Source organism: Homo sapiens, chromosome 13, assembly GCF_000001405.40.
Source record: "Homo sapiens chromosome 13, GRCh38.p14 Primary Assembly".
Taxonomy (NCBI): Eukaryota; Metazoa; Chordata; class Mammalia; order Primates; family Hominidae; genus Homo; species Homo sapiens.
This window is the reverse complement of record NC_000013.11, coordinates 79,227,647-79,246,649: the sequence shown is the minus strand read 5'-3', so window position 1 is coordinate 79,246,649 and position 19,003 is coordinate 79,227,647. Positions and strand designations below refer to the sequence as shown.

The 19,003-nt window shown below is 40.5% G+C and overlaps 3 annotated features.

The window, feature by feature from the left end:
• Nucleotides 295-374: an enhancer, noted in NCBI's record as "active region_7855". NCBI's record gives its function as "activates an Ori minimal core promoter by ATAC-STARR-seq in GM12878 lymphoblastoid cells {active_cell/tissue: GM12878}" and the evidence as "EXISTENCE:reporter gene assay evidence [ECO:0000049][PMID:35858748]".
• Nucleotides 385-444: an enhancer, noted in NCBI's record as "active region_7854". NCBI's record gives its function as "activates an Ori minimal core promoter by ATAC-STARR-seq in GM12878 lymphoblastoid cells {active_cell/tissue: GM12878}" and the evidence as "EXISTENCE:reporter gene assay evidence [ECO:0000049][PMID:35858748]".
• Nucleotides 18,583-18,632: an enhancer, noted in NCBI's record as "active region_7853". NCBI's record gives its function as "activates an Ori minimal core promoter by ATAC-STARR-seq in GM12878 lymphoblastoid cells {active_cell/tissue: GM12878}" and the evidence as "EXISTENCE:reporter gene assay evidence [ECO:0000049][PMID:35858748]".

The window sequence follows — 19,003 nt, the reverse complement described above, 5'->3', positions numbered from 1 at the left end:
GTCCAAGTTCAGGTTGACCAGTTTCGGATGCACATGGAAAGGAGAGGAACATACTCAAGAGAAGGATAAAAGCGCAATACTTGGCAAACTGAGATGTGTCCAAAAACTGTTGCTTATTTCTTTTTCACTTTGGTGTGTATTTCCAGTCGAGTGAGTGTGGAAGGTTTTGGCAGAGGGGAGGACTGAAACTTGATCATTCAGTGTCTCCGTCGTTTCTAATGGGTTAACTTTCCCACTTCTAGGGCGATGACTCAGGCTTTCAGGCTGTCTCTACTCCTTGTTCCCCTATGCGAGATGGCTGCTGAGCACAGGGGATCGGTGACCTGGTAGTAACAGTGTGGAGTCTGGGTGTGTGTGCTGGCCATTTTGGAGATGTTTCCTGTTCACCTGGACACAGTGGACCTGATGTCTTTCCTGCTGTGATCTATTCTCTTAGCAATGTCATGGGTTCCTCCCCTGGCTCTGTGGGTGCTGCAGTGTGCAGATCTCAGCCACAGACTCCATCCTGCTCTGGTCTGACCATCCACCCCAGAGCCTCTGCTTCAGGGTCATCCTCTCAACAGGACCATTTGTGGTTAACCATCTGGCTTGCTACTCTCAGCTGCCACATGACTCTCTCACTGAGAATACCTGTGAATATCTGGTTTCCTTCCACATCTTCCACGTGAAACTTGGGAATCTCAGGGCCACCAAATTTGGCTTCCTGCCTATGTGTACCCCTCTGCCATTCCTATTTTACTGTGATTACCAAGTTCTGAGCGGGAGCAAAATGCAAAGTGGTATCTCTTCCCAGGGTTCTAAATGGAAAAGAGGCTCAAAAGCCCCTGCCTCAACCTTCCATCTCTCTGGGATGGCTATATATTCACCAGGTCTTCAGGAACCAGACATGTCTCTCCACCTACTCTCTCCCTTCAAATTTTCGTCTCCTTCTCCCACACCCAGAAAGGGCAATTCTTCCCATCATGTCTGTTGAGAACTTCCCTTAAGTTCTTTTTCTGCCATACAGATGATCTTTGCCCTAGATCAGTGTTCTCAACGTTGTCGTACCCAAGGCTCCACTTTCATATGACAAATATTTTGAATACCTCTTTGACAGCAAGTGTCAAAACTATGCCCTAACTTTATTATAAGGGAGAAATAAAAGGGAAGGAATTTGTTCTAAAAAGATGTTTGCCCCATATGTAGAATCACTATGAATCCTACAGCCACAAATGCAGACTGATGTAAATGTCTCATTGCTGACTCGAATATCATGAGTGGACCGACTTTCCAAAACTGTGAACCCTTTTGACAAAAATCTGAACATAAAGTATGATATTCCCTTGATTTACTTTGCAGTTATCATCCTGGGAAGTCAATAATGCAATCTTTTTTTTGCTTGTTGACATAAATAATACTATTGTTTATATGTAAAACTAAGCTAGATAATTATAAACATACCTTCATCAATGTCATGACGTTTTGTGGGAACTGGAATAATTATTCCTTGTGTAGGACTATCTTGTATATTGCAAGACACACAGTGCCTCTGCCTCCTGTCAACTAAATGCCACTAGTGTCCCCAGTCATTGTGACAACTAACCCCAATCTAATTTCCAAAACCTCCCCTAAGGGGCAGTAGCATTCCCATTGAGAACGCTTGTTCTAGGCAGTACCTTCCCATAAAATAAGTTTATAATCTCTCCCAGGTCCACCCATCACATATTTGGCAACACTTTGCAAAATGAGCCTTTTGTTCATACAGCACTTTCAGATCATCCCAACATCTATGCTGTGGGACTTCTTGGTACAAGTTCCTCGGTTATTGATACATCTGGGGACTTCCAAATTTCTCAGACTTTTGTTTGAAAACCATAGTACCATACTGCCTTCTGTTCTTGTCTTTGCCCATATTTCTATTGAACTATTTTGTCATTGATTGAATTAACTGAATACCTCTCGATTAGGAAATATAAGGAAAATAAAGAACCAGAGAGATCAAGTGACTCACAGAGTCCCAGTGATGGAAACTCAGTAGACCAGGACCAGAGGCCCTATCTTCTATCTAGAGATTTCCTACTATGTCATGTTATTATTGCCTTATAAATTAATTCTTGGCCAGTTGTGGTGGCTCAATCCCAGCACTTTGGGAGGTGGAGGCAGGTGGATCGCTTGACCCCAGGAGTTCAAAATCAGCCTGGGCAATATAGCTAAACCCCGTCTCTACCAAAAAAATACAAACATTAGTTGGGCGTGGTTATGCACCCTGTAGTCCCAACTACTCAGGAGGCTGAGGCAGGAAGATCTCCTGAGCCTGGGAGGTGGGGGTTGTAATGATCTGAGATCACGCCACTGCACTCCAGCTTGACTGACAGAGCTAGACCCTATCTCAAAACAAATAAACAAACAAACAGAATACCAAAATTTTATTATTTGCCTTATTATTTGGAAATCAGTGTCCAAATATATATATTTTTGATTATTATTATTATTTTGAGATAGAGTCTCAGTCTGTCGCCCAGGCTGGAGTGCAGTGGCACAATCTCGGCTCACTGCAACCTCCGCCTCCTGGGTTCAAGCGAATTTCCTGCCTCAGCCTCCTGAGTAGCTGGGATTATAGGCATGTGCCACCACACCCAGCTAATTTTTATATTTTAGTAGTGATGGGGTTTCACCATGTTGGTCAGGCTGGTCTCGAACACCTGACCTTGCGATCCACCTTCCTTGGCCTCCCAAAGTGCTGGGATTACAGGCCTGAGCCACTGTGTAAATCAACACAGTAGGATCTGCTTGTGCCTGGGTGAAGGTACCCATTGAGTTTCTCAACCTGTAGACCTATAAAGTAGGGACCCCACTAATGCTACAGCCACCTCACAAGGCCCAGCCAAGGAAGTCTTTCAATTATACATATAGCTCCTTTTTGGACCCAAGGTACCTCATTGACTTTACTGAGTTTCCTATACTGTATTTAACCATTTTTATAGTCAGGGTTTGTTTACTGTATTGTCTGATTTGTTTGTTTTTTAATGTGAAAGTTTCCATTGCTTAGGTTTCCAGTTGCTGACTTGGAACAATCCATTTGCCTGGAACCAGATATTATAATAAAGTGAATCAAACATATTAAAAAAATGGAAACAGTTTAACCTTCTTCTCTTGATGTAGCAAGCCCTGTTTAAAAGGAAGGAAATTCGTTTTTCTGTACAAAATTAAAAAATAATTTCTTTGTCAAGGGAAAATTTTATGATCCAATTCCCCCAATTTGAGTACTTCTGATCTACCTAAATGTTACCCTTTGTAAATCAAGAAAAGTATGTTAGGTGTAATAGTTGAGTTGTGAATGATAAAATCTGCATGTGTATTAGGGAGGGAATGCATACGTAGAAATTGGCTTAACAAGGTGTGGAGCCTTGTGCACATTTATGTCTGAAATCCATATCAAGCCCTTAACAGGCAAGATTCTTTAATATAAATGAGAAATAGGCTTTATCTTGCCATAATGACCTGCAGCCTCTTAGACATGACTCTCTACAGACCGATCACTCCACAGAAAGGTTGGCCAGCTCACTGAAGCCATTATCTTTTATTTATGCAGATCAGATTGTGACAATCCTTGGAATTCTTTGTTTTATCTCTCTCTCTCTCTTTAATCCTCTTGATACGGTTTTTTCTTTCTGTTTCTATATGGGCAACTCCCCAAACAAGCATTTTCATGACTTCCCAAGTCATTGAATGAAAATATTAGAGCATAATTTGGTTAGCTTGTATTATTACACAAAGAAAAGAAAATTGTTTTAATTTTGGAGGCTACTAGATAAAGGGAGAAGGGAAAATTCCCTAATTTTTTAAGCCACACAGGGAGCTATGTACTGTGCCAACATAGTAACCAGCACCAAATCCCAATAGTTTACATTTTCATTATTTAATATGCCCTCTAGAGTTTTGGATGTGGCTCAGAAATTTTTTTAAAACAAATTTCTTACATATGACCTTAATTTCAATGAGTATGCTTTAAAAAGCTGTAGCTTTCTTCCTTTTACATTTCCCATTAGTCAATATCAGCTACATATTCATGGCTGAGAACCTAAATAGCATACTTTTTATAAAAAAAATATAGGGGTGACTTTTTTATGGGTGTGTTTCCAGTGATCTTTTGCTCTGGGGATGGGGGTGGTATTCAATAGAAGGAGTTGAAAGAGAGAGAGAAGAATATTACTTTTGATTATAGCAGTTTAGTCTCCATTGCATATTACCATTTTTTTCCTCCTGTAGTGCTGTTCTTTCTAGCTTTTATCTGAGCCAAGTAGCAAGGCAAGAAACCCACTGAGAGATCAGGAAAGAACGACGGTAGGAAGGATTTTCCCAGTTGATTTGGGGTAGTGCTGAATTCAGCTGACATCCTTAGGGTTCTTATTCCTGCATTTAATCCATAAGCATTTTATTGAATGCTAATTAAGTTTCAGTTACTTTGCTAGATGTTATAGCAGATATAAGAATGAAACAAGTACTATTCTTACCTTTTATTTATTCATTTGATAAATGTTTGCTATCCACTGGCAACACAATACCAAACCAGCAGCCACAGTGGTCTTCTCAGTCCAGGGTGGAAGACGACCTGAGTAAATGATGGGCAATGTGACAGAACAGGATATGTTGTGCTGGCTGTCATAAAAGTAGAAGTGTTGGGTGGTGTGGGAGCATTAAACATGGAACATTAACTTAGTGTGTATCTGCCAGGGTTAGCAAAGTTCTCCCTGAAGCAATAAAGTTTATGTTGAGACTGGAAACGTGACACCAAGTTAGCCCTTGGAGTGTAGGGAATGGAGTGTCCCAGGAAGATGGAACAACAGTTTGGATGAAGGTTGAGGTGAGTCATGCATTGGAGGAACTAAAAGAAAGTCCTAAGCCAGGTAGGACTCAATTCCTCTTCCTCATCCAGATGGTGAATCTCGAGGGCTGCTCTGCAGTGGCTGCTCGTGGCTGTCTTCAGTGACTGGAAAATATGAGCTGGTTAGGAGCAGCTCACCATCTGCAAATCACATCTCCCTACGAGTGGGGTAGCACTAACCCCCGTCCACCCCAACTCAGCAGAGATTAGGGGAGGGGAAAGAGAGTTCAAAAAGTAAATTGTTTGGGATGGAGGTAATGTAAAGAACAAGCAACCTATAAAATATTAATTGATGATAAGAGAAAATTTCTCTCCACAAGCAAAAGGAATCACTGAGCTCCTGAGAGTGACATGAATTGTATTGCAGGCTCCTTATCAGACGTTATTAGCAGCTTCCTAGGAACAAGTTTTTAGCTGTTAGTTTAAGGCAGAGGACTAAGAACATGGGATTTGGGGCAGGAAATTCCATGCAGGATTTGGAGAATGGAGAAGAGATGGGACTAAACTACTGAATAAGAGAGGGAGAAAGTGTAAGACTTGGGCAGCCAGAGGCTCCATGAGGATAAGGGGGCACAGGGGCTTCAATTACAGCACTCATCCATCTTGTCACTATCCAAACCACTCAGGGTGACAATAGATACCTCTATCTGCATCTGAAGGTAGAGGCATCATAATTTATTAGAGATGAAGTTTGACGTTGTTCCCTCTTCTACGGTTATCAGGAAAGCCATTTTCCACCACAACAAAGGAAATTTCAGCATCAGTAGAAAGAGATGTGGTTGGGATTGAGAATAAGGTATAATGGAATAGTCCTGGAAGGATATTACCTGAGTGTCTTCGGGAGAGCAGAACAGTTTTTTTAAAAACTTATAATTGTCATGGAATATTGCGCTAAATGGCACTGCATTTATGAGTTTCTTGTTATTTTAGTTAGGGCATTTGTTTTTCTATTCCTTTTTTTAAAAAAACACTTCAAATATCAGAAGTAACTTTAGGGAAAGTGATCTCAGAAAAATCCCTCATGGCTTTAATTTATAATGGGTCAGGATTATTGTTTAATTTTTGAGATGAAGAAACTACAGAAGAGACCCTATTTGGCTACATTTTTTTTTTTTTTTTTTTTTTTTTGAGACGGAGTCTCGCTTTGTCGCCCAGGCTGGAGTGGAGTGGCGCGATCTCGGCTCACTGCAAGCTCCGCCTCCCGGGTTCACGCCATTCTCCTGCTATTTGGCTACATTTATGCAGCAGACCAATGGTGAAGTATGCAGTGCAAAGTGGGGATCCTAGGAACACAGAAAGAAAACTAGTTTGAGAACAGTAGAAACAAAGGGGGAGGTATACATTTTAAAAAATAATAAAAAACTTCTTAAACTCATCTATGCAAAAGTGCCGGGATCCCCTTAAGCAGAGCATGTCATTTTGTACTGACATTATCCGTGCATGTGGTTTTGACCAATTAATGCTAGTTTCAGATGGATGGGCTTCATATTAATACTAATCGCTGAAAATGACCATTGAATCTGAAATTTCTGTGTTCCAGGACGATAGCTCCCTTCACAGGGCACATCTATGAGAATACAGTGCTTATGTATAGCATTCTGGATAAGGCAAGCTATCTTGTTCATGTGTGAGAAACTATAATGCATCTTTCACATTTAAAGTGCCCTCTGAAGCTTTCTGCTTCACAACCTCTCTCCTTCTTTCCTTGTTACCTTTAAATTTTTCATACTTGAGCATCTCTCAAAGAATTGCAAATTCTAGCCAGAACATGATTAATTTAGTATTCAGCTTCCTCCGATGGAGCGCACTGCCGTCTGTTCTTAGATAAGGCTACCTCTCCTCTTGGCTCTTACCAGGAAAAGTGAATTAAGGCAAAGACCCAGGCTGTTCCGGTGGGCTTCTTGAAAATGAATTTTTACGGGCAGTGCCACCAAGTCAGAAGCGTGGTGTTGCAAAAGCGAAATTACAATATATAGTTGATGTTATTTTAGTTGGGAAGCTCCGTCATCCCATTTTCTTCGCTCAGTTTGCCAAGGAAATATCTATTATTCTTTATTTGGAGGTGAAGGGCTAAATCCAGGCGTTTCTCTTTCTGAAATTCCCTACCTTTATTTTGTTCATGTTTCCAACACCTTCTTTATTTATTTCATCAGCTAATATTTTCTTTGAGAAGGTCACTTGTCTTTAATGTTGAAATAAGAGGCACATTTATTTCCATTGCTGGGATTCTTTTAATAGAACTCAATGAAGCTGAGCTATGAAGGCCAATGCCACTATAATCACGATGACTTCCGGTAATACGCACCAAGGAAATCTGCCCCAGAGTATCTTTTAGACATGGGTCCATTTGGCTTAATCTTTATGAAGAAGGACAGCAGAAAATACAAACTTCCTCTTTGAAAGGTATTATAAAATCTCATTTGAATATATATTCCATAATTTAATTATTTGTTTAGAAATACTTCCTGTACAGAATGTGATTATCAGGTATTTAAAGCATTTAGCAATTACCTGGTATGTAGTCAGAGCTCAATCCTTGTTAGTGATAGTGATGATGATAATGTAATACTGGCACTTCAAAAATATCACCAAAACAACTTGTTGATAAGAAAAGGCTGAGTTTATTCTTATTGCATCCTAGTTTAATTGTAGGACCCCACAGAGCACTAGTATTGAGTGGCATGGTAAAATCAGGAAGTCTGGCTTAAGACAGGTCTTTTCAAGCTGAGGGGTAGTGGAGATTGGGGAGTTTGGAGGGCTAGGGCTTAGGGGAGTGTAGGAGAGTGATGTTAATTGGGACTGAATAATGATTATCATATAGTAGTTTAAAATTGGTAGAGTTGAGAGTTTTGAAGGATCTTGGGGAGTAAGCAGTCTTTTGAAGAGGTGAACAGTTAGATGTTCGCTTAACTGGGATTTCTAGGAAGTTGCTGAAACTAACAATAAAGTTACCTGCAACTTTTTTTTATCTTCTTGGGCAAGAGTTTTCTGAATTAGTAAAGTCATTGAAGACAGGAAGTAATAAAACAATGTTAACCGGAGTAAAGATAGCTAGTAGTGAAGCAACGTTAACATAATACATGGTAAGTTGTGTGGATATAGATGGCTTTGATTCTTCTTCCTCCTCCTCTTTTTTTCCCTCTTCCTCCTCCTCTTTCTTCTCCTTTTTCTGGCATTTTGTAGTTGAAGCTATTTACTACCAGGGAATTAGTTATTTGAGACTAGGTTTTGTGTGTGTGTGTGTGTGTGTGTGTGTGTGTGTGTGTGTGCGTTTTATAATATGGTAAATATTCTGTGCTAATTTGAAAAGAAAGAAGCTGTGTTAGGGAAAACATTTTTTGAGGCCCATTTCCGATGTGACTCTTTATATAAAGAGTGTAACCAAAGTACTGGTGGACTTCTATATGTCCTTCAAAATCTAGCTCCTCATGGACACTCCCAGGCATGCCCGAGAGGTATTGGGCTTTGCTACTTTCTTGCCTCGTCCTCCTCCTCACATTTCCAGATCCTCAAAGCAGGAGTTGCATCATCTTTGTACTTGATGCCAGGAATGTATTATGTGTGGAAGATCCAATGAAGAACAAGAAGCAGTCCCTGACCTCTTCGAGTTCTCATGCTAGCAGAGAAGGTAAATAAAACAATGGTCATTTATTTACCTTTTTAATGTTTCTGTGTGCCTAACAGAGCTGTGTAGCTAGGAGTGACCCAATACATCTGTGCTGAATGAATAAATGACAAATGAAATGGGCTCTGTGATCGTTGAGAAATCTATGAGGTGGGTGTGAAAGTGGTTTTATTTTCCTGAGAAATTTGAACACACACACACACACACACACACTGCCCATTTGTTATTTCTCTTCTAAAACTGACTATTTATATCTTTAGTCCACAGTTTGTTATTAGGTTGCTGTATTTTTTAAAAATAGATATGTGGGATTTTATTCCCCCACATATCCAGTTGCCCAGGCTGGAGTGCAGTGGTGTGATCTCAGCTCACTGCAACCTCTACCTCTGGGCTCAAGCCATCCTCCCACATCAGCCTTCTGAGTAGCTGGGACTACAGGTGTACACCACGATGCCCAGCTGGTTTTTGTATTTTTTATAGAGATGAGATTTCACTTTGTTGCCCAGGCTAGCCTGGAACTCTTGAGCTCAACAATCCGCCACCATTGGCCTTCCAAAGTGCTAGAATTACAGGTGTGTGCCAGCGTGCCTGACCCAGTCTCACTTTTTATATGTTGTCTTTTGTAGTCCAGAAAGTTTAATTTTAATGTACACAAAGGTATTAATCTTTTCCTTTATGGTTAGTGTTTTTTTGTGTCTTGTTTAAGAAAAATTCTCTACCTTGATGTGATAGAGATATTCTTTATTTTCCTCTCAAAGCTTTAACATTTTGCTTCTTGAATTTATTTTATTTTATTTTATTTTTTATTATACTTTAAGTTTTAGGGTACATGTGCACAACGTGCAGGTTAGTTACATATGTATACATGTGCCATGTTGGTGTGCTGCACCCATCAACTCGTTATTTAACATTAGGTATATCTCCTAATGCTATCCCTCCCCTCTCCCCCACCCCACAACAGGCCCCAGTATGTGATGTTCCCCTTCCTGTGTCCATGTGTTCTCATTGTTCAATTCCCACTTATGAGTGAGAACATGTGGTGTTTGGTTTTTTATCTTTGCGATAGTTTGCTGAGAATGATGGTTTCCAGCTTCATCCATGTCCCTACAAAGGACATGAACTCATCATTTTTTATGGCTGCATAGTAATCCATGGTGTATATGTGCCACATTTTCTTAATCCAATCTATCATTGTTGGACATTTGGCTTGGTTTCAAGTCTTTGCTATTGTGAATAGTGTTGCAATAAACATACATGTGCATGTGTCTTTATAGCAGCATGATTTATAATCCTTTGGGTGTATACCCAGTAATGGGACTGCTGGGTCAAATGGTATTTCTAGTTCAAGATCCCTGAGGAATCGCCACACTAACTTCCACAATGGTTGAACTAGTTTACAGTCCCACCAACAGTGTAAAAGTGTTCCTATTTCTCCATATCCTCTCCAGCACCTGTTGTTTCCTGACTTTTGAATGATTGCCATTCTAACTGGTGTGAGATGGTATCTCATTGTGGTTTTGATTTGCATTTCTCTGATGGCCAGTGATGATGAGCATTTTTTTATGTGTCTTTTGGCTGCATAAATGTCTTCTTTTGAGAAGTGTCTGTTCACATCCTTCGCCCACTTTTTGATGGGGCTGTTTGTTTTTTTCTTGTAGATTTGAGTTCATTGTAGATTCTGGATATTAGCTCTTTGTCAGATGAGTAGATTGCAAAAATTTTCTCCCGTTCTGTAGGTTGCCCATTCACTCTGATGGTAGTTTCTTTTGCTGTGCAGAAGCTCTTTAGTTTAATTAGATCCCATTTGTCAATTTTGGCTTTTGTTGCCATTGCTTTTGGTGTTTTAGACATGAAGTCCTTGCCCATGCCTATGTCCTGAATGGTATTGCCTAGGTTTTCTTCTAGGGTTTTTATGGTTTTAGGTCTAACATGTAAGTCTTTAATCCATCTTGAATTAATTTTTGTGTAAGGTATAAGGAAGGGATCCAGTTTCAGCTTTCTACATACGGCTAGCCAGTTTTCCCAACACCATTTATTAAATAGGGAATCCTTTCCCCATTTCTTGTTTTTGTCAGGTTTGTCAAAGATCAGATAGTTGTAGACATGCAGCATTATTTCTGAGGCCTCTGTTCTGTTCCATTGGTCTATATCTCTGTTTTGGTACCAGTACCATGCTGTTTTGGTTACTGTAGCCTTGTATTATAGTTTGAAGTCAGGTAGTGTGATGCCTCCAGCTTTGTTCTTTTGGCTTAGAATTGACTTGGCAATGCGGGCTCTTTTTTCCAACTTACAAGGGATGTGAAGGACCTCTTCAAGGAGAACTACAAACCACTGCTCAATGATATAAAAGAGGATACAAACAAATGGAAGAACATTCCTTGCGCATGGGTAGGAAGAATCAATATCATGAAAATGGCCATAATGCCTAAGGTAATTTATAGATTCAATGCCATCCCCAACAAGCTACAAATGACTTTCTTCACAGAACTGGAAAAAACTACTTTAAAGTTCATATGCAATTTATTTTATTAAATTTACCTGGAATTGATATTTGTGTATGGTATACATGGCTATCTGATTTTATTTTGGTTTTCTCACATGTATATGCTGATCCGTGTCAGCTGGATACTCAAGCAGGACCACCTGCAAATCGCTGGGGGTTCTTCCTTTGTGCAACTCTCTCTTCCCTTTTACTTTGTCTTCTAGCTCTAGGCTCCTTAGTTTCCCTGAATTCCCAGCTCCATCTCCTTAGCTCAGAGAGTACACTAGGCTAGGCCTGGGTTCCTCTTCTGTGTGCTGTGACTTCAAAACTCTCTCAAGGCAGTAAACTAGAATGATCACAGAGCCCACTTCATTTGTCTTCTGTCTCCCAGGGATTGTCATCTGTAGCTGTCTGATGGTGGATGTCTTGACAACATTTGTTTCATATATTTTGTCCATTTTTGGTTGGTTCAGATAAGATGGTAAATCTGGTCTGTTACTTCATTTTGACGGGAAGCAGAAGTCTGAGGAGGGGAATGAGATTTGAACTAGTTAAGATCTGAAGCTGGAGAAGGCAATTTGCAAGACCTAATTTTATGGATCAACAATCTGAGAATTTGCAATGATTCAGTACAACTAGATGAGTAAACTAAGGCTAGGAGAAGTTTCTTTCTTGCTTGCTTTTTCTTTTTCTTTTTCTTTTTTTTTTTTTTTGAGATGGAGTTTCACTCTTGTTGTCCAGGCTGGAGTACAATGGCGTGATCTTGGCTCACTGCAACCTCCACTACCCAGGTTCAAGTGATTCTCCTGGCTCAGTCTCCCAAGTAGCTGGGATCACAGGTGCTGGCCATCACGCCCAGCTAATTTTTTGTATTTTTAATAGAGATGGGGTTTCACCATGTTGGCCAGACTGGTCTTGAACTCCAGATCTTAGGTGATCCATCCACCTCAGCCTCCCCAAATGCTGGGATTACAGACATGAGCCACCACATCTGGCCAAGAAGTTACTTTCTAGGTGTGATCTGTGCACCAATTACAGGCAGCATTCCATATCTGTGTGTTCTGCCACTGCGAATTCAACCAACATCAGATCAAAAATATTTGGGAAAAACCCAATAAAAATGATACAAATACAAACCAATACAGTATGACAACTATTCACATAGCATTTACATTGTATTAGATATTGTAAGTAATCTAGAGGTGAGTTAAAGTACACAGGAGAATGTACATAGGCTATATGCAAATATTACACAATTTTACAAGAGGGACTTGATCTCCACAAATTTTGATATTTGTGGGAGGTCCTAGAACCAATCCCCAATTGATACAAGGGACAACTGTATTGCAAGTTAAGTTGCCCTTATCTGAAATGCTTGGGCCTACAACTGTTTTAGATTTTGTATTCTTTTGGATTTTGGGATTTTGCATACATATAATAAGATATCGTGAGGAATGGGACCGAAGTCTCAACATGAAATTCATTTATGTTTCATATACAACTTATACACATAGCTTGAAGGTAATTTTATAGAATGTTTTAAAATTATTTTGTGCATAAACAGACTTTGTGTACAAATGTGTCACAAATGTCATCAAAAAGCAAAGGTGTCATTATCTCAGCCACTCACACAGGCAGTCTGTGGTTGTTTGGCATCACCATTATTCCTGATTAAATTTATATACCTCTAATAAGCAATAATTTTCTTACACTTATTCACTCAGAAATACCAATAAATACCATTAATACAGGTGTATTAATGTGTTCAGGGTACCTATGCAGCAGAGTAGCACCACCAGAATACCTGAATTAGCTGCTAACAACAGCAACAACAAACAACGCCGGGTTTTGGTCTCCACCTGTGAGGCTGTGTTTTGATTAAGAGGTTACTGTCCACTGTAGTTTTTTTTTTTTAGGTGAGAAAAAGCATCAGAGGCAGTTGCAGGACCAGGAAGGGAATCCTTTAGGGATGAGGAGACCTTCCGCTGGATGGCTTTTTAAAATGTTTCCTCCGGAGTCATCTGCCTCATTAACGAAAGTTTTTGTCTGAGAAGTCTCTCTTTGATTTCGTGAGCTGACATGACATCTTGTTCTGTTATGAATGCATGCTGCTCTAGTCCTTCAATAAGCTCATTACACATTTTCACCATGTTATCTGCAGGCACTTTTTCTGCAGTGTCACCAACAACATCATCATCATGTTGGCCCTCATTGAATTTTGAAATATTTCAGAGTTTGGATTTTCAGATTAGAGATTGTCAATCTGTACTATACAGGAAATCAGATGGCATCTTGAGTTGCATTTTTCCTGAGCTCTGGCATTACGTTTGGAAAGACAAGACAAAAAGGATCTTTTTTCTTGTGTTCATGGGACCTAGGAGAGAAGTTGTGGTTTGGACTAGGATGGAATCAGAGCAGTCTTAAGAAGAGAAGCAGCCTTCCTGAAAATTGAAGCCTAAGTTACTGCAAGGCGTCTTCTGACCTATCCTCCAAAGTCCTTCCGCTTCACTTCCATCACAGTCCATTGGTAAAAATCAAGTCATAGGCCCAGCCCAGAGACAAAAGGTCACACAAGGATATGAATACCGGTGTGGTTGTACAGTGGAACATCTTTGGAGCCAATTACCACAATAACCCACTACATGTTTTGGAGAAATGGGAAGTAAAATGAGAGACAGGATGTGACCAGATTGTGAGAACTTTGAATGCCAGAATGTAGGCAAAGAGAAATCAAAGGCTGTTGTGCATAGGATGAATACAGGGAAATTAGTGTTTTAGGAAGAGTAACTTAGTCGTGATACATATGTCTGATTAGAAGAGGGAGTAACTGGATGCAGATGGAGATGTTAGATGGCCATTGCAGTAACTTAGGTGTGCAAAGGAAGAATTAGAGCAAAGGTGGATGCAGTGGAATAGAAAGGAAAGGATATTTTGAATATGATTTGATCAATCATAATTTTGCCTGCAGAAAGATGGCACATGACAGATATGGAAAGCAAATAAAGAAATATGCCAACTCAAGAAATACATTAAGCCAAGAAATCTTTAAGAATTCATAAAAACAAGAGAGAGAGGATAAGAGATGTATTAAAATGGGAAGCAGGAAGAAAGTAGCCGAGAATAGAAACCGGGGTCAATAAAAGTAGAAAAGGACAATGATTATACTGACCTAAATTATAAAGCAAAAAAGGATATTCACAGGGGAGGAGAAAAGAAAACACTGAGTAGAAACGCATACCATTCTGTGTAAACTCAGCATAGAAGCAAGTAGGACATAACTCTCAATGACACCATTAAGAAGACAATAACTAACTTTCACTAGTGATAATATGTCATATATTTATGTAATAAATATTTCTAAATATTTACTATGTACACACAATGTACTTATCTCTGATACTTTTATGTACAGAGAGATGATCTTCAGACCCACTGTGCAAGAAATCTTCAATTTATTGATGTGTACAGAAAAAATGGTAGCATTGCAAGATAAATGCTAAGTGCTAAAACAGTAATAAGAAAAGATTACTTGCGTGATGGAGGAGGGAATTAATGACTTTGCCTGAGCATATCAGAGATGACGTCACAGAACACTTGAGGTGAGCAGGAGGAATAGAAGTTTGGCAACTAGAGAAGGTGAATCATTGCATTCCATGTAGAGGGGATGGCTAGTGTGTGCAAAGGCAGAAGTCTTCAGAAAACATGGTGGATTGGAAGACCCAGTCTGCTCTGGGTAGAAGCCCTATACTCTGCTCACCAAGAAAGGGAAGTTGGGAAACCATTAAACTATTGAAAAGTACTTGAGATCTTTGGCATCCAGAAGGTTAAAATATCAGTTATCTGGAAGCCTGTTGGTCCACAGTAGCTCTATGTTGCTGATACTGACTGAAAACCAAAGTATTTTTTAGTTGTATTGACAACTATTGACTACTTCTACTCTCTTTTCTTCAAAATAGTGATGTGACTTCTGGAATATTCGTAGAATTCCTAAGCAAATTAAGAGGCTGCAGAACCCAGTTATCTATATTACAGGGCAGAAAGTGATACATGTAGACAGGGAGGTACAGAAAGTATGAGGGCCTGGGGAATGGGGATATTAATTTCAACCAGATAAATAAAAATAAAGATCATGAAGGAGATTTCTTGGAGCTGAGTTTGCCATATGGGTAAGAGTTCAAGAAGTCTCAATCTGTTTAGGGCTGGAGAGGTAGAGCAAAGGACATTTGAGGAAAAAAATGCAGGGCAAAGAGTTGAAAATGGGAAGGTGTTTGAATAACTCTGTTGACTGTCTGATGTCAGTCCAGCAGAAGATTTTCCCAAAGGTGTAGGGCAAGAAACAAGTAGCACGGAAAATTAGGGGCAGGTCATGAAGGCCATTAGATGCCTCTATGGTGTTTGTTGTGTAAGCCTGGGAAGATGTCAAGATCCTGAGCAGAAGAGGGGTACAGCTGAGCTGTGTGTGAGCAGATTGCTCCAGAGGCTGTTTACAGAAAGGATGAATGAGGGCTGATTATCCTGGGGAGAGACTAAGGATTGAAGAGGAGGGCGATAAAGAGAGGGAGACAGCTGGGTAAGATCCTGATGAGATCCATGCTTCGGAAATGGCAATAGGAACAGAAGAAAAGACTGTCTGGGAAGGATGGTCAGGTAGTGGGCTCAAGGAGAGGTAAGAGCCAAAGGTAATGTTGAGGTTTTTTAGCTTTGATGAGGATGGTGTTGATGGAGAAGAATTGAGACATGGAATAAAAGAGTGAGCTAGGGAACATACATTTGTTTTGTTTCTGTTTTGTTTTTGTTTTTGTTTTTGTTTTGAGACAGGATCTCACTCTGTTGGCCAGGCTGGAGTGCAGTGGCATGGTCATGGGTCACTGCAGTCTCCACCTCCTGGTCTCAAGTGATTCTCTCCTGCCTCAGCCTCCCAAGAAGCTGGGACCACAGATGTGCACCACTGTGCTCAGATTTTATTTTTATTTTTATTTTTTTTAGATGTGAGGTCTCACTCTGTTGCCAAGGCTGGTATTGAACTCCTGGGTTCAAGTGATCCTCCCACCTTGACCTCCCAAAGTGCTGGGATTACAGACATGAGCCACTGTGTGTGGCTGTGTTTTTTCTTTCTTCTAAATTCTCATAGAATTTTAGTTTTGTGGATAAAGCACAATAATCTTTTTTCTTTTGAAAAGAAAATCGGCAGGCAAGAACTATGTGTTCTGTGGACTATGATTTATAGCATGTAGTTGTTGGGTAAATTTCACTGTCTTTGGCCTAAGCACTCAAAAGAGAGCTCTTGCTGGGACACATATTCCAATTTTGTGTTTCTGTATTGTACAAGGGAATTGAAATGCACTACTTCAGAGTGAATTAGAAGTGAGTTTGTACATGTTTCTGCTTAGTGGAACTCAAATAGTTTCCCAGGGAATACGTTCTCTGTTTTTCCAACACCTTTCCCTTATTCCCCAAACAGATTAGCACATGTCTCTCATACTCCCCACATTGCCATCAGAGTAAGAGAGTGAGAGGGAGAGATCGGGCGTAGGGCATGATAATTTTACACTTGAGACAGTGATGTGTACGATCTGAAGTTTTTAAATTCTTGGAAGACTCTTGGGTGCGAGATATATTTGTGTTGCAGCACAAAACCAAACAGCACATGCAGTAATCCCTAAAGGTATCTGGGCCCATAGACTCTGCACCTGAAAGCTCTTACTGTTCAGCATTTGGAAACATTTCAAATCATTTCCTCAATGCCCAGTTTCACATTTATAACATATGATAATTAAAAAGAAAGCCCTTGTTAATATTTAACAGGACTGACAGTAGGAAATGTAGATGTAGTTTCTCTTACCTCTTCTTTTAACACCCTTCTCCCATATTTAATCTCAGGGGGTCCTTTCTCTCTTTCTTCCACTCTCTGTACTACAGTCCACAGACCCCCGGAACTCTCACACCCTCTAACTTCCCTGAGCCACAGCTGGGAGAAATTCTCTGATCTAGACCTGGTAACACTTAGAAGAGCTAGTTAATAAATTTCATCCTGAAGAAGAAGCTTCAGAAGTTACCTGTATATGTATCATATATACACACACACACACACACACACACACACACACACACATGCACATATATATACACACACACATACACACACACACACACACATATATGAGGCCACTTGTGTAGTAGGGTTGTGAATTTACATGCATTACACCCAGATGTGCTTGGAAAAATAAGTAATCTGATCAAGATAGTGGAGGAGAAAACAAATAGCTAAAGGTGGCATATAGTTTATACCTAGTTTGATAGAATTTAGGCCTTCGTGCTTGCTCTCCTCCCTTTTCTTTACCCCAAGAGGTATCTGTCTGTCCTGGGAGTGTTTTCTGATGTTGGGGACGAGCCCTGGAGTTTCTCGGTGTATCCCTGCTCTGTCCTGTGTCAGTGGCACTTGTCCTGTGGGTGCACGCTGCCCCACTGGTTATCAAAGCTGTGTGAACTGGTTTCTCTTGCTTGGCCAGGACCTGGAAATTTTCCATCAATGAATCAGTTTCCTCTCAGGCCTGAGGCAGGTCCTGGTCAGATCCACAGCTCCTTGTGCCTTTGGAGCTTCCCCTCAGAGGAGGGCGAGGATCATGGGGCATCCTGGGTCCCATTCTTACACCCCTTGTGACCTGCAAGTGACCAAGAAAGCACTACTTCACTACCTTCTGCCTGTACACTATGCAGTTTGTTTGCTGTGGCTAAGTGTTGGGTTGGTGTGAATTGCCTTTAAGGATTGTTGGTTGACTGCAATGACCCTGTGACAAAGGGGGAAAGATGGGTGATACGGTTTGGCTGTGTCCCCACCCAAATCTCATCTTGAATTGCAGCTCCCATAATTTCCAGGTATAGTGGGAGGGACCCAGTGGGAGGTAATTGAATCATGAGGGCGGGTCTTTCCTGTGCTGTTCTCGTGATAGTGAATAAGTTTCATGAGATCTGATGGTTTTATAAATGGGAGCTCTCTTGCACATGCTCTCTTTTGCCTGACACCATGCAAGATGTGACTTTGTTCCTCCTTTGCCTTCTGCCATTATTGTGAGGCCTCCCCAGCCATGTGGAACTGTGAGTCCATTATACCTCTTTCCTTTATAAACTACCCAGGCTCGGGTATGGCTTTATTAGTAGTGTGAGAACAGACTAATGCAATGGACTTTGCTCTTCATATGAATTTAGGTCTCTGCTCTTCTTATCGCTCATCATCACATAAAGTGACCATGGAATTTTGGGTCCCATACTGCAATACTTTTGAGATGGAAGGGGGTGTTAAAATAACTATAATTATACAATATATTCAAATATATTTTTACTGACTGATACATTGATTTTATAATTTTGATGGAGTAATGAAATAGTTCTATTCAAAATTATTTCAAAATAAAATGCTTTTTACTAAAAATAACAATGACCTTTGTCTGTGTACAGGTCAAAATGGAAGAATAGGCATCCCTAACCATGAGCTGAGCCTGCAAGAACCTCAGATTCACATTCCCAAGAGAGCGTCTGGTGCAGGAGCAGGGCACTCTAGGGTTGGGGCTGCAAAGCTAATGGGCACTGAGGCCGGTCCTTGGGGGGCCCCTGTGCCAGGGCTGAGTCATCCTTATAGGGTTTCTAGATCTTGGCGACATCAAGAGACACCAAGTCATACACCTCAATTGATTTTGGAGCAGTGCCCACTTGCTGGGCAAGGACCACCACCACAGCAGCAAAGGGGCCAGTGAAGCCAGTCTTACTCTACAGCTGGCTCTGCATGCCAGAGCAAAGTCTTGAGATGCTAGGGCTTTGGGTCTTTTGCTATCTTTGTAGGAATTATTAGAGCCAGAAAGTATAGTCTGCAGAGAAAACACCTAGAGCAGCAGAAGAAAGAGGCCTCCCACAGAATTTTTTTTCTGCTGAGAGCCTGATGACCACAGGAAGGTATAAAAGCACTAGCTACAGCTCTTCAGTGAGACAGGGCCCTTTAAAGCTAGTAAAATATCAGAGTCAGAATGATAGTCATGAT